Below are 15,164 nucleotides of genomic sequence, written 5' to 3'. Positions count from 1 at the left end.
CTGACCTCATGATCCACCCGCCTCAGCCTCCCAAAGTGCTGGAATTACAGGTGTGAGCCACTGAGCCTGTCCTATACTGTATCACTTTTTTTTTTTTTTTGAGATGGAGTTTCCTCTATTGCCCAGGCTGGATGCAATGGCATGATCTCGGTTCACCGCAACCTCCACCTCCCAGGCTCAAGCGATTCTCCTGCCTCAGCCTCCCGAGTAGCTGGGATTACAGGCACCTGCCACCACACCCGGCTAATTTTGTATTTTCAGTAGAGACAGGGTTTCTCCATGTTGGCCAGGCTGGTCTCGAACTCCCGACTTCAGGTGATCCGCCCGCCTCAGCCTCCCAAAGTGCTGGGATTACAGGCGTGAGCCACCGCGCCTGGCCACTGTATCACTTCTTTAAAAAACAACAAAATTTCTAAAAGGCAAAACAAACAAACAATTGTACTGGCGCTCTGGCCGAGGAAAGCCGCCCTGGACGCACCTTCCGAGTTCAGGGTGATGAGCGTGACGTTGCTCCCGATGCTCTGACTGCCCGCCTGCCCACAGCTGGACACAGAGTCGCTGGCCTCCGAGCCGCTCTCCCCGTCCTCGTGGTGGCTGTCTTCTTGGCCCGGCACCTTCACCACAATGGTGTTCTGCCGACGCCCAGGCACAGCGCTAAACGGGAAAAAAAACACACCAGCCCGATGTGGTAAGAGCCGCAAGCAGCACGCGAAGGTCAGCGCTTTCCTTATCGCAAAATCTAACTCTGTGTGGACCAGTGGATCACACAGCCTTCCCATACTGCTCTCTCTACCAAGATTAATAGAAACTCCATGGGAGAAAATGGCCTGGGGCTGAAAGAAACTGTATAAAATAAAACTTAACCATTTAAAGAAAATGTTTGTATCACAAAAGGAGTAAAATCATACTCACTGGGACTCAGGCCTAGCATGCTGCCTTCTGAGTTCAGTAGTCATCCCATAAAATGCTGGTAAGAGTCTTTTTTCCGGCGAGGTTAAAGGGAAGACTAAATGAGGAAAACTGTGCCCAGAGGCCTGGGTCAATTCGATCCACGCTGCTGGGCTCGCTGGAGATGGCTCCCCCTCGCAATGCGAGCAGCACTCCCACGTACGCCCACGGGCAAAAAACCCTGACGGGGCTTAAAAAACCCACTGAGATCCCATCGGAGCTGCCATCATCCCAAGGGCTGCTGATGTGGAAGGACAGAACACTGCTAGCAAAGCAGGGCGAGGCCACCTCCACAAGTGCTCAAAAAAAAGGATGATTTAGAGACTTACTACTTCCCTTTTTTAGTGACCCTTTCAACATCCTCTACCGTGGACTGCTACGCACCAGCAGGAGAAAGGAGCACAATTTCTCTATATGCAAAGTCAAAAAAAAGGGTGTTGAAAACACTGGCCGCACCCAGAGGAGGGCGCTGCACTCTGCACTTTCTGGCCTGGATTCTCTAGAGCGCTGTCCACGCTGAACCTGATCTCAACACTGGCCATCTGCCTGGCTGACCTCAGTGCAAAGCCCCTGAGGCACAGCTGACCCTGGCACCTCCTCACCGCCCATCACCAACTCCTCTCCCTTCACCCCACGTATCAGACCCTTGCGACCACAGCTGCGGCCCTGGAGAACTGAGCTAAGACAATACAGAAAGGGGACGAAGCTGGAGGAGGAGGAATCCACAAAGGAGACTGAGAGAAAAAGCAAATAGAACTTTGTGAAGACACAGATGGGAAAGAAAAAGCAACAGCATCCTCAGGGGTTCACGCAGCCCCAGGGGCACTCCTGGGGACAGCAGGGCTTGGATGCCAGCCAGAGGCCACTGCACAGCCTTCCCCTCACACAGAGCGGGGACGGTGTCTTCTGTCCACTCCCACCTCTGACCAAAGTTCCATTCAAAATGTCTCAAGAGAAAAAGGTATAAGAAAAAAGTCATAAACTCAACATGCCTGCACCACTTAGCAACCGTGGGAGAGGGCGTCTGTTTGCCTGACACGCTCTGCACAGACAGACGTGAGGACCACTGAGCTAGGTGGGAGGATGAACGCTTTCACAGACTGCTGTGAGGAGACAGAGCCAGCCCCCTCCACAACCCCGGCCAGCACGAGACACAGAAGTCCCCGGCGGCAGCTGCCCCTGGTGTGGCTGGACTCAGCATTCAGCATCGCCCAGCCTGCCCTCCCCGACCTCAGAGAGCTGGGGCGGTGCCTGCCAGGCTCAACCCTGTGACCACAGAGATGAAGCGTGTGCTGGACTGTGCCCTGGCTTAGGGACGTTGACTTATTCTCATGGGACTCCGCACAGTGGCAGGGAAAGGTGGGGTTGGTGCCGTGCTACTGACTTGCTAATGACATTTTCCAGGGAATCCGGTGCCCTGTTGCTCAAGGGGTCTTCCATCTTGGCTACAATGGCGTTCTGCCGATCATTGTTGAGTATTACTGTAGTCTGGGGGACGACGCTAGGGAACAAAAGAATCACAAAGAAAAAGAAGGCCTTAAAACAACAACATTCATGGTAAGAGCACATAAGAGTCATTCAACACAGTCCACTCCCAGGGACCCGCACTGAGGGGGAGGCCTAAGAGTCATTCAACATAGTCCACTCCCAGGGACCCGTCCTGAGGGGGAAGGAGCCCCAAATGCTAAGGAAGAATAAACTGGAGATGGGGTTTTTAGCAGAACGTAACTTTTCCTAATTGTTGGTGATCTGTCTGCACAACTGGATAGCACAGGACAGCTGGGCTGAGGATGCTGAACTTGTGACAGAATAGACTGCAACCGCACCAGCTGTTATCGCACCCAGTTAATAAAGCTTCTAGGGTGGCACACTTGCATGAGAACTGGCTTGACATTTTCAGTCACTCCATCCCAACTCATTCCTATGGGACAGATCTAACGTTCGTAACCACGTAAGTGTTGGTATCATTCCAAAACGGTAGCGCCCTGGAAAGAAAGGGGCAAACATCACGTTGGACTTGGGATGGAAGGACACACATGCTGCCTCCAGGTCCTGCAGGAACATGTGTGAGCTACAACCAAAGGGCTCAGGGTTCTGCTTTGAAGGAAAAGATTCTACAAAAGAACAGACCATGGCCCAGAAACCAGCAAGCCTGGCGCCACCCTGGAGGAAGCACGAGTGTGTTCAGACAGGCGGCAGCTAACACAGCTTCATCTCAAAGTACAGACTCACCCACAGTTTTCAATCATGCGTTTTTAAGCCTTAGCACTTTCTGGTCACAAGGGATATCTAAGGTCCGCTTTGTTGTGGAAGGCTGGGGAGAGAAAGAACTAGCACTAGAAACACAACGTGATTATCACCTGACAATAAAACTCCATTCTTGGATTTCACTCTCCAAAAACCAACCTGGGAAGCCTGCCTTTCTGTGATCTGCACATAGGAAATTCTAGCCTAGTATCACTGTAACTGTCCCCACATTGAGTGCCAGCACAGCACCACGCCATGCTCAAGTAAATCACAGGACCACCAGGTTTTCTCCTAAAATAAAGGCATAATCAACTCCATTTCATTCAAAAATATTATTTTTTAAATTCCTCTACTTGTTATTGGTGACACCTAACGTTAACACAGCAAAACCTGACAAATGACCTATAGGTCAGGTATGGAAAGTAACCCAGGTGGCTTTTGGCTTGGTCACCACAGTCACCTACAGGCTGTGACAGTCCTATGCTCCTCAGAGATGTAGAACTGGAGAGGCTACCTGACTTGCACGAGCTTGGTATGTTCCCCAAGTGGAGGCTATGGAACACTGGTGGCCCCGGGATCCTAGGCTCACAGCATGTGGGAAGGCTGGTGTCCCCGGGATCCTAGGCTCACAGCATGTCCACACATGCATTTATTCTCTCCCCCCATGAGCAACTGAAGAAGGACGGTGCTGCTGAGAAGCCAACAGTCCCCTAATGACTATTCACAGTGGCCACTGGCACACTGACAGTCTGAGAAGAAATTTTAATAGAGTAAAATGTATTCAGGCCACCATTTGGCAAGGTCATTTGACCAAATATACCTTTTTTTTCCTTGAAGATCCTTATTAAGGTGAAGGAAATCATATTCTAAGACAACCAGCTCCCAACTGGAATAATGTGCCCCTCGGGTGCCCCACAGCTTCTGGGGGGCTCATGGATGCAAACAGCTCTCAGCAACGCAGTCTCCAGATCCCCACCTTCCAGAATGTCCTGTTGCCTAAAGATGACTCTCCTTGAGCGAGTATCTCAATGTGTGTGTTCCCTTCCACAAAGCCCTTTTCCCACCTAAAAAACAACCTCTGCTCTGAACACACTGGATGCACCATCCACCTAGGGCACAGACCCCAGGAGCCAGCGCAGGGCCACCTGAACACCAGCACGGGCGTGACAAAACCAGCACCTCACCGGCTGACTAGAAAGCCCTTGGTAAGTCAGCTGGGTTGCAATCTTTGCTTTCAACAAAATAGACAGAGATCATCAAAAACAGTTTCTGAGGACAGACCACTGAGACCCCTGGCACACAACTCAAAGAAGCCAAGGACTCCTTCCTCTCCCACATATTACCGATGGGACCCAAGTTTCCCAGCACCCAGAGTTATAAAAACCAAAAACAGCAGGACCAACATGGAATCCTGTCTCATCTAAGCAGTCAAACATAATCATCCATTGATTCAATAATTAACCAAAAAGCCCTATCCAGCTCTTCAAAAATACATTCCTAGTATTTTATTATCAAGAATTAGTTCTAAGTGGGTGACATATTCACGTTCTTCTGTTCAACCATTGTAGTTGAACAAATCTGGATTGAACCTTCAATCCAGAAGGTTTTTTTTTTTTTGTTTTTTTGTTTTTTTTTAGCACTTAGGGCCTTATGGTTAGGAACATAAATTTTTTCAGCTTCGATCTACATCCCTATTTCTGTTGCAAATGCATACGACAGCCAGGCTAACAGGATAAAATTTTGTGAGGGAAATGAAATGGAAACGAAAATTCAAAGAAAAGAAAAGTGACATAACATTCGACTGCCAAAAGCTCATTGGTGAGACGTTCAAAATCCATCATGATATTTAGATTATAATGGAAAAATTAAAAAAATAAATAAACCAGTTTTGTTTTTAAAGATCAATATTATAATATGCTGTAAAAGTAAATTATTTTAATGTTTAAAAAATGCCAGAAACTACACGCTTTCAACTAACGCGATTTAAATCAACCTCAAATTGCACAAAAGAATACTTTTTTTAAATTATGGAACATCTTTATCACATTAAGGAGGATGCAGTCCCTATCTAAGGACCGATGTGGAAAAAGTGCCACAACAATACTAAGTGACAAAAAACACAGCTAAGTCCAGCTGCGCATGTATGTGCATGGAGATGTGTCTGGAAGGACAGGTAAGTCCAGCCACGCACGTGCGTGCATGGAGACGTGTCTGGGTATCTGGAAGGACAGGTAAGTCTAGCCGCGCACGTGCGTGCATGTTGACGTGTCTGGGTGTCTGGAAGGACAGGTAAGTCCAGCCGCGCACGTGCGTGCATGGAGACGTGTCTGGGTGTCTGGAAGGACAGGTAAGTACAGCCGCACACGTGCGTGCATGGAGATGTGTCTGGAAGGACAGGTAAGTACAGCCGCGCACGTGCGTGCATGGAGACGTGTCTGGAAGGCCTGGTAAGTACAGCCGTGCAAGTGCGTGCATGGAGACGTGTCTGGAAGGACAGGTAAGTACAGCCGCGCACGTGCGTGCATGGAGACGTGTCTGGAAGGCCTGGTAAGTACAGCCGCGCACGTGCGGGCATGGAGACGTGTCTGGAAGGACAGGTAAGTACAGCCGCGCACATGCGTGCATGGAGACGTGTCTGGGTGTCTGGAAGGACAGGCAAGTACAGCCGCGCACGTGCGTGCATGGAGACACGTCTGGAAGGACAGGTAAGTCCAGCCGCGCATGTGCGTGCATGGAGACGTGTCTGGGTGTCTGGAAGGACAGGTAAGTACAGCCGTGCACGTGCGTGCATGGAGACGTGTCTGGAAGGACAGGTAAGTACAGCCGCGCACGTGCGTGCATGGAGACGTGTCTGGAAGGACAGGTGAGTCCAGCCGCGCACGTGCGGGCATGGAGACGTGTCTGGAAGGACAGGTGAGTCCAGCCGCGCACGTGCGTGCATGGAGACGTGTCTGGGTGTCTGGAAGGACAGGTAAGTACAGCCGCGCACGTGCGTGCATGGAGACACGTCTGGAAGGACAGGTAAGTACAGCCGCGCACGTGCGTGTATGGAGACGCGTCTGGAAGGACAGGTAAGTACAGCCGCGCACGTGCGTGCATGGAGACGTGTCTGGGTGTCTGGAAGGACAGGTAAGTACAGCCGCGCACGTGCGTGCATGGAGACGTGTCTGGGTGTCTGGAAGGACAGGTAAGTACAGCCGCGCACGTGCGTGCATGGAGACGTGTCTGGGTGTCTGGAAGGACAGGTAAGTACAGCCGCGCACGTGCGTGCATGGAGACGTGTCTGGAAGGACAGGTGAGTACAGCCGCGCACGTGCGTGCATGGAGACGTGTCTGGAAGGCCTGGTAAGTACAGCCGTGCAAGTGCGTGCATGGAGACGTGTCTGGAAGGACAGGTAAGTACAGCCGCGCACGTGCGTGCATGGAGACGTGTCTGGAAGGCCTGGTAAGTACAGCCGCGCACGTGCGGGCATGGAGACGTGTCTGGAAGGACAGGTAAGTACAGCCGCGCACATGCGTGCATGGAGACGTGTCTGGGTGTCTGGAAGGACAGGCAAGTACAGCCGCGCACGTGCGTGCATGGAGACACGTCTGGAAGGACAGGTAAGTCCAGCCGCGCACGTGCGTGCATGGAGACGTGTCTGGGTGTCTGGAAGGACAGGTAAGTACAGCCGTGCACGTGCGTGCATGGAGACGTGTCTGGAAGGACAGGTAAGTACAGCCGCGCACGTGCGTGCATGGAGACGTGTCTGGAAGGACAGGTGAGTCCAGCCGCGCACGTGCGGGCATGGAGACGTGTCTGGAAGGACAGGTGAGTCCAGCCGCGCACGTGCGTGCATGGAGACGTGTCTGGGTGTCTGGAAGGACAGGTAAGTACAGCCGCGCACGTGCGTGCATGGAGACACGTCTGGAAGGACAGGTAAGTACAGCCGCGCACGTGCGTGTATGGAGACGCGTCTGGAAGGACAGGTAAGTCCAGCCGCGCACGTGCGTGCATGGAGACGTGTCTGGGTGTCTGGAAGGACAGGTAAGTCCAGCCGCGCACGTGCGTGCATGGAGACGTGTCTGGGTGTCTGGAAGGACAGGTAAGTCCAGCCGCGCACGTGCGTGCATGGAGACGTGTCTGGGTGTCTGGAAGGACAGGTAAGTCCAGCCGCGCACGTGCGTGCATGGAGACGTGTCTGGAAGGACAGGTAAGTACAGCCGCGCATGTGCGTGCATGGAGACGTGTCTGGAAGGCCTGGTAAGTACAGCCGTGCAAGTGCATGCATGGAGACGTGTCTGGAAGGACAGGTAAGTACAGCCGCGCACGTGCGTGCATGGAGACGTGTCTGGAAGGCCTGGTAAGTACAGCCGCGCACGTGCGGGCATGGAGATGTGTCTGGAAGGACAGGTAAGTACAGCCATGCACGTGCATGCATGGAGACGTGTCTGGGTGTCTGGAAGGACAGGCAAGTACAGCCGCGCACGTGCGTGCATGGAGACGTGTCTGGAAGGACAGGTAAGTACAGCCGCACACGTGCGTGCATGGAGACGTGTCTGGAAGGCCTGGTAAGTACAGCCGTGCAAGTGCGTGCATAGAGACGTGTCTGGAAGGACAGGTAAGTACAGCCGCGCACGTGCATGGAGACGTGTCTGGAAGGCCTGGTAAGTACAGCCGCGCACGTGCGTGCATGGAGACGTGTCTGGAAGGACAGGTAAGTACAGCCGCGCACGTGCGGGCACGGAGACGTGTCTGGAAGGACAGGTAAGTACAGCCGCGCACGTGCGTGCATGGAGACGTGTCTGGGTGTCTGGAAAGACAGGCAAGTACAGCCGCGCACGTGCGTGCATGGAGACACGTCTGGAAGGACAGGTAAGTCCAGCCGCGCACGTGCATGCATGGAGATGTGTCTGGGTGTCTGGAAGGACAGGTAAGTACAGCCGCGCACGTGCGGGCATGGAGACGTGTCTGGAAGGACAGGTGAGTCCAGCCGCGCACGTGCGTGCATGGAGACGTGTCTGGAAGGACAGCAAGAAACTGAGAAGCAGGCCATGGAGCCTCAGGAGCCGGGTCGGCAGCACCTTCACGGCACAGACAGCAGCCCACGCAGATGGCACAGACAGCAGCCCACGCAGATGGCACAGACAGCAGCCCACGCAGAGAAGCTATTAACCTATTCAAGGCCACACAGCCAGTGAATGGCAAAATTAGGTCTGAGGCCAAAGTCCCCCTGTGACAGACAGCTGACATTCCTAACCAAAACCACTCACTGCCCCCACAACCCTCAGCACTTTTTCATCTATTTTGCCACGTCCTTACTATGCTTTAGTTTTCCGTGTGGCCTTCCCCTGTACAGGGGTCCTTCTGTTCGTCCAATGATGTCTCCCAAAGTCCCTAGAAGAATGCACAGGACATGGGTGAAGACTGTTTGGGACACGGAGGAATTCAAGAGTGAGCTTCCCATTTTGGAGGGAAATGCCTCTCGACCCGCTGGTTCACATGCTGCTGCTCTGCGTGCCGAAAGCAAAGACTGAGAATCCCGACCCAGAGCAGAATCCACCGAGCAGGATGCCAAAAGACAGCCTAGAATGTTCTCATCCACTGTGCGGGGTCAGTTCTGAATTCCACCAGGAAGTGCTAAACTAAAGGTGACTTAAAGTCTGAGGGCTGACTGGTGGGAGCCAGCAGCCACCATGAGACCCAGCCAAGAGTGGGCACTCAGGGACTCACCAGGAAGTAACAGTCCTGATTCTGCTGAGCTCAAGGAGTACTGAGTGCTTCGTGTGCATGGTCTCACTCCCAGCCATCCTGGCTATTTCACCCACTTTACCACGAACACATGGTCTCACCCAGCTATCCTGGCTATTTCACCCACTTTACCACGAACACATGGTCTCACTCCCAGCCATCCTGGCTACTTCACCCACTTTACCATGAAGACATGGTCTCACTCCCAGCCATCCTGGCTATTTTACCCACTTTACCACGAACACATGGTCTCACTCCCAGCCATCCTGGCTATTTCACCCACTTTACCAGGAACACATGGTCTCACTCCCAGCCATCCTGGCTATTTTACCCACTTTACCATGAAGACACTGATGCTCAGAAAGATCAGGATCTGTCCCAGGTCTCACCATTTATTGGTGACAGAACCTGTGTTCAAAACTAAGTATTTCTCATGCTTTTAGTCACTTGCTGGACAAGAACAGCAATGATCCTATTTCAACCACTGCTACAACTCACCCTTTCAGTGTTTGAGTTTTTTAACTGTTTTACTTTGATGGATTTAAAACAAAACCTCTTCAGCCAGGTGCGGTGGCTCACACCTGTAATCCCAACACTTTGGGAGGCTGAAGCAGGCAGATGGCTTGAGCCCAGGAGTTCAAGACCAGCCTGGGCAACACAGTGAGACCCCATTTCTACAAAACATCTTCCACTTTGAAAGCTGTCATGGCAAACATTTTCTACGCTGAGCTTATAAAGTGGCCTTCCATTTCTCTTCTGCTTCAGGGAACCACCTCATCACAGAGCCCTAAGCACCTGCCCTGTGCTCTGGGCAACTGGCATGGCGGCCCCTGTTGCTCGTGGACCACACAAAATGGAGCACATGTGAACAGACATCAACAGGCTTTGTCCAAGTACATGCAAAACCAGCCACCAAGATACAACATAAAATTAAAAATCTTGAGAAATGAAGTATTTAAACTGTTTTCACAGATTTGTGTTTGCCATGTTTTATTACAAAAGGAAATGAAAACTAAGTTATTCTGAAGCAGAGCCTTGAAAACCTATGCAATGGTTCAGTGCAGACAACGACACAGGGAGGAGGGAAGGACGGGAGGGCAACGCTGAGGACCAGAGCCCAGCCGGCGCCCAGGACGAGGGCCCAGCAACACTCAGAACCAGAGCCCAGCTGGCGCCCAGGACGAGGGCCCAGCAACACTCAGAACCAGAGCCCAGCCGGCGCCCAGGACGAGGGCCCAGCAACACTCAGAACCAGAGCCCAGCCGGCGCCCAGGACCAGGGACCAGCAACACTCAGAACCAGAGCCCAGCCGGCGCCCAGGACGAGGGCCCAGCAACACTCAGAACCAGAGCCCAGCTGGCACCCGGACGAGGGCCCAGCAACACTCAGAACCAGAGCCCAGCTGGCACCCGGACGAGGGCCCAGCCGGCACTTCAGAGCAGCAGAACATCCAACTCATGCAGCCAGTGAGCAGAACCCGAGAACCCTCGCAGCAGAGGTTAGCATCGGAAGCCATCTCCAACTAAGTGGCACAGGCAGCTGAGACGCCAGGTGGGTCCCGGTCTCAGGCGGTGACTAGGCTCCATGAAAGCTGTCAAATGTGGAAATGACGGGGCGAGAGAGCCACCTGATCTACAGTGGTGACTCCAGACACCGCCGTCGGTGGCTGCTGGACACACACCTCTGCCTGGGCACAAATGATCACAGGACAGAGAACAGACATGACTCTGTTCTCCGCCTAACCCTCAACTGACATGGAGATGCTGAGAGGACAACCTGAGGAGAAAGCAAGCACCAGCCCTCCAAAGATGAGTTTAAACAACTTTCAAATGCCCCAGGGCCAAACCCGCTAAATGTGCGTCTAACACGTCTGCACTGAACGCTCAGCAAGTGAGAAGCGCACCCCGGGCACCGCAGGAACCCCAGCCTCCAGGGGCTCCCGCTCCAGCTCACGGCATGAACAAGGCCGGGCGCGCTGCTTCCCCTTGGCGCCCCGCCGAGCCCAAGATCTTGACCCAGAGCTTGTTACCTGTGGAGTCAATCACCGACCACTCCCATTCACGCCACAGTATCTGGCTGTTTTCTACAGCAGGGAGAGGAGGAACTCCATCAGGATATCTGATGTATATTTGAACAAGTACAAGTTTTTGTCTCCTTCCCACCCAGAGTGCAGCCTCACCACGTGACACTCTGCCGCCAGGTAGGCATCCCTTTTATAATTAAAGTAATTATCATCAAGTGCAGGTTAGAAAAGCTGATACTACTTTTCTAATTTTTATGAATTCTCTCAAGGAAAAGTATTTCAACAACAGCCAGGTAAAAAGAATTAAGTAATTTTTTCTTTCTACTTATTAGGAAAAAATGGACAGATTTCTTTTAAACTCCAGTACCTGTTCCCTAAGAACATTTTCTCCCATGGACATTTATGCTCCTACATAACACACAAGGACCGGGGCCAAATAAAAGAAGAAACTGGTTTGACGTAATGTACTTACAAAAAGAGGAGCTGCTCAGAGCTTCAGCAGGAGGAAAAGCAGGCCCCCCAAAAACCCCCAGGCCAGGGCAGCCCACAGCCTACTTCCCTGGCCGTCAGGGGCTGTCCCGGGAGCCCCCGCACATCCAGACTGCATTTCCCAAGCCCATTGTGCGCACACACGGCCCTGTGGCCAGACTCCATTGATGGACTCTAACAGGTGAGACGTGTGTCACTTCCAGGACACAGGTTTTAAAAACAGGATGCACCTTTTCACGCCTCTCCCCTTCCCAGACTGAGGACCCCCAAGGCCATAAGGTGAGCACATGATAGAAGGCTCAGGCATCAGAGGCACCCAGGGCAGTTGTGGGAGGACCAGAATCGCCCACACTGCACCCTGAACATAAGCAAGATGCAGCCTCCCACCATGCTAATCACAAGTCCAGGGGACCCTCTACTGCCATGGCTCATGTCACCTAATCAATACAATCAGCACTCAGACTAATCAAACATTTACTAAAAGTATATTTCTACTGTTTGCAGGTTTGAGGGGCTTTTTATTTTATTTTATTTTTATACACGGGGTCTCACTATGCTGCCCAGACTGGTCTCAAATTCCTGGTCTCAGATGATCCTCCCACCTCAGTCTCCCGAGTTGCTGGGATTCCAGGCCTAAGCCACTGTACCACGCTAAAGATTAAAAAGTCATAAAAACATCATCTAACAAAAAATACCCAGGGATAAAAATAAATCGGCATTAAAATGTTCTTCCTAATATCTAATGAAATAAGCAAAACAGAATATAAAACCAACCCTCCAAATAACCACTGCACCAGAGAAGCGGGACTAACCTAATGTAACAAACTTTAAAACCTCGTTGCTAAACAAAGAAAGAAGCTTCTAGCTTCTGGCAATTGGCTTTGAGAGGCTCCTGATCTAACTCCTCACGCTGCTCTCCCCAAGGAGCCATGCTTGTGCTCCAACAGAGATCTGTGACTTCCACCCAACAGTCCCAAATCAGAATGCGAGCAGCTCAAGGACGGGTATGTTTTCTTCTTCTTTCCTAGAAGCTACACAAATGACTACTAGTGAGAGAGGGAAGCAGCGTCAGGACTGACTCCACAGAAGTCAGCACTCTGCAACGGCACAGGATGCGGGGCTCCTAGGCAACATGTTTGGCTGAAAAGCCGCCCAGGGCCCTTCGCATGTTCAGAGGACACAGTGCACCGCAGCACACCGCCGCGCTCCGCATCCTGGTCTCCAACACCAGGGCCCTCCAAACACCGCATCCTGGTCTCTAACGCCAGGGCCCTCCAAACACCGCATCCTGGTCTCTAACGTCATCTTTCAATTCACGGAGAAACGGCTCATTCTAGGCTGGGACAAGCACTCACAATGAGCCCGGAGAAGCATTTGGTAGTGCTGTGCAAGTAAAAAGTGCTCAGGCCGGGCATGGTGGTTCACATCTGTAATCCCAGCACTTTGGGAGGCCAAGGCAGGCGGATCACCTGAGGTCAGGAGTTCGAGACCAGCCTGGTCAACATGGTGAAACCCCGTCTGTAATATAAATACAAAAAATTAGCAGCCGGGTGTGGTGGCACGGCCTGTAATTCCAGCTACTTGGGAGGTTGAGGTAGAAGAATTGCTTGAACCCAGGAGGCGGAGGTTACAGTAAGAGATCGCCCCACTGCACTCCAGCCTGGGCAACAAGAACAAAACTCTGTCTCAAAAGAAAAAAAGGGAAAAAAAAAAACCACTAATGATGAAACACCTACAATGAAGAGGGAATGGAGGGAATGTCAAGGGGCACGGGAGCCAACTGACGAGCTGCCAATGGCCAAAGCCGGAAGGATGTGAGCACCAGAATGAAGCAGAACTAGATTCTAACCCAGAGTGTAAAATACATCTCCATGAGCACACACTGATGGAAACGGATGAGTGAATAGGTGAATAAATGGGAAAGAAGAGACAAGGCTCCCGGGTAGACTGACAACAGTATCTGTGACACTCCACCCTCGAGGAGGCGGCACACAACTCCCCACTCCTTAACTGGGTGATGGGCATAGCAGCTTCCTTCCCAAGTGCAGGATGAAAGCTGAAAGAGTCACTTGACTGTGGAAAATGCTGAAGAGCCACCTCAGCCAGGTGACCCGCATCAGCATTAAGCACTGAGTCCTGCTGACAGTGCTGGCCTGGACAGAATGCGATGAGAAGGACTTCACCTACGTGTCCTCCCTCCCCAAAACCCGTGACCCCCATCTAGTCAGGAGACAAATTCCAACAGAGGCACATCCTACAAAATAACCGACCCAATGCTCCTCAAAAAGTCGCCAAAAACAAGGAAGTGTGAGAAACGGTCATGGATCAGAGGAGCCCAGGGAGGCCTGGCAGCAGAGCATCCTGTGGACCCACAGACACAGAAACATACAGTGGGTACCATGAGGAACAGTGTGCGGACACACTCTAGAATTTAGGGGAAAAGAAAATAATCTTGAGAGACACAAACAACACTAACTCAAGAAATTCTACATTTATTGAAGTGTTTTTTTTTTTTGAGGAGTCTCACTCTGTCTCCCAGGCTGGAGTGCAGTGGTACAATCTCGGCTCACTGCAACCTCCGCCTCCTAGGTTCAAGTGATTCTCCTGCCCCAACCTCCTGAGTAGCTGAGACTACAGGCGCCCGCTACCACACCTGGCTAATTTTTGTATTTTTAGTAGAGACGGGGTTTCGCCTCGTTAGCCAGGCTGGTCTCGAACTCCTGACTTCAGGTGATCCACCCTCCTCAGCCTCCCAAAGTGCTGGGATTATAGGCATGAGCCACCGTGACTGGCAGTTCTATATTTATTAAAATAATTGAATTTATTATTAAAAACCTAGGCTTCACTGGCAAATTCTATCAAATTTTTTAAAAGAAATAAAACTAATCTCACAGAAACATTTTCAGAAAATAGACAATAAGGGGCAGCCTCCCAGCTCCGTTGCTGAGGTCAGCATTATCCTGATAACAAAAAGACATGGCAAAAAAAAGAAAACTGCAGACTAACATGTTGCACAAACACAGACGCAAAAACTCTTCATTAAATATTAGAAAACTGATCAGTATAGCAAAAGCACAATACATGTAGATGAAGTCAGGTTTATGATAAGAGAAATGCAAGGTTCGGTTAGCATTCGAAATCGACGTAATTCACTTTAACAAAAGAATCAAGAAGGATCACCATACCATCATCTCGGAAGATACAGAAAAGGCATGTGAAAATCCAATGTCCATTCATTCATGAGAAAAAACTCCCATGAAACAAAGAATAGAAGGAAACTTCTTCAATCTGATTAAGAGCATCTGGGAAAAATGTACTGGTAACATCAGACTTAATGGTGAAATGCTGGATGCTTTCACTCAAAGATCAGGAATAAGGCAAAAATATTTTTATAAAGAAAATACACTGAAATAAAGATCATGGCCAGCACATTAAAGTAAGAGAAGGTATAGAAATTCTATAGGAAGAAGCAAAATTCTATTTAAAGGTAACATAATTATGCATATTTTAAAAAAATCCTACAGAAAATCTAAAACAAGTTCATTTAGAAATGACACAGGATAAAGGTCAGTAAAGAAAAATCTATTGTACTGCTACATCCTTCCAATGAACAACTGGATACTGAAATTTAAAATACAATACCATTTATGATAGCATCTGTAAGTATGAAGTACTCAGAGATAAATGTAACAAAATATGCACAGAAGCTGAACACTGAAAACTGTA

The 15,164-nt window shown here is 50.8% G+C and overlaps 1 protein-coding gene across 32 annotated transcripts in view, besides 4 other annotated features; it reads right to left on the bottom strand.

Moving 5' to 3' along the window:
* Positions 1–15,164, bottom strand: part of BANP (BTG3 associated nuclear protein) — a 128,081-nt gene that overhangs the window by 70,575 nt on the left and 42,342 nt on the right. For 19 of the 32 annotated variants that reach the window (NM_001384941.1, NM_001384931.1, NM_001384925.1 and 16 more), the window contains 2 exons: positions 2,333–2,449; positions 479–654 (listed from right to left, as the gene is read on the bottom strand). In NM_001384941.1, the coding sequence (NP_001371870.1) occupies positions 479–654; positions 2,333–2,449 (293 nt within the window). The remainder of the gene's footprint in view (positions 1–478; positions 655–2,332; positions 2,450–15,164) is intronic. The other 13 variants (NM_001384936.1, NM_001384916.1, NM_001384921.1 and 10 more) reach the window with 1 other exon arrangement.
* Positions 104–647: an enhancer, noted in NCBI's record as "H3K4me1 hESC enhancer chr16:88039703-88040246 (GRCh37/hg19 assembly coordinates)". NCBI's record gives its function as "activates a minimal SCP1, AML or CMV promoter by ChIP-STARR-seq in primed H9 embryonic stem cells {active_cell/tissue: H9 hESC(primed)}" and the evidence as "EXISTENCE:reporter gene assay evidence [ECO:0000049][PMID:30033119]".
* Positions 648–1,193: an enhancer, noted in NCBI's record as "H3K4me1 hESC enhancer chr16:88039157-88039702 (GRCh37/hg19 assembly coordinates)". NCBI's record gives its function as "activates a minimal SCP1, AML or CMV promoter by ChIP-STARR-seq in primed H9 embryonic stem cells {active_cell/tissue: H9 hESC(primed)}" and the evidence as "EXISTENCE:reporter gene assay evidence [ECO:0000049][PMID:30033119]".
* Positions 5,119–5,972: an enhancer, noted in NCBI's record as "H3K27ac-H3K4me1 hESC enhancer chr16:88034378-88035231 (GRCh37/hg19 assembly coordinates)". NCBI's record gives its function as "activates a minimal SCP1, AML or CMV promoter by ChIP-STARR-seq in naive H9 embryonic stem cells {active_cell/tissue: H9 hESC(naive)}" and the evidence as "EXISTENCE:reporter gene assay evidence [ECO:0000049][PMID:30033119]".
* Positions 5,973–6,827: an enhancer, noted in NCBI's record as "H3K27ac-H3K4me1 hESC enhancer chr16:88033523-88034377 (GRCh37/hg19 assembly coordinates)". NCBI's record gives its function as "activates a minimal SCP1, AML or CMV promoter by ChIP-STARR-seq in naive H9 embryonic stem cells {active_cell/tissue: H9 hESC(naive)}" and the evidence as "EXISTENCE:reporter gene assay evidence [ECO:0000049][PMID:30033119]".

This window comes from Homo sapiens, chromosome 16 (genome assembly GCF_000001405.40).
Source record: "Homo sapiens chromosome 16, GRCh38.p14 Primary Assembly".
NCBI lineage: Eukaryota > Metazoa > Chordata > Mammalia > Primates > Hominidae > Homo > Homo sapiens.
The sequence above is the reverse complement of the archived record's forward strand: the minus strand, read 5'-3'. Positions and strand labels throughout refer to the sequence as shown.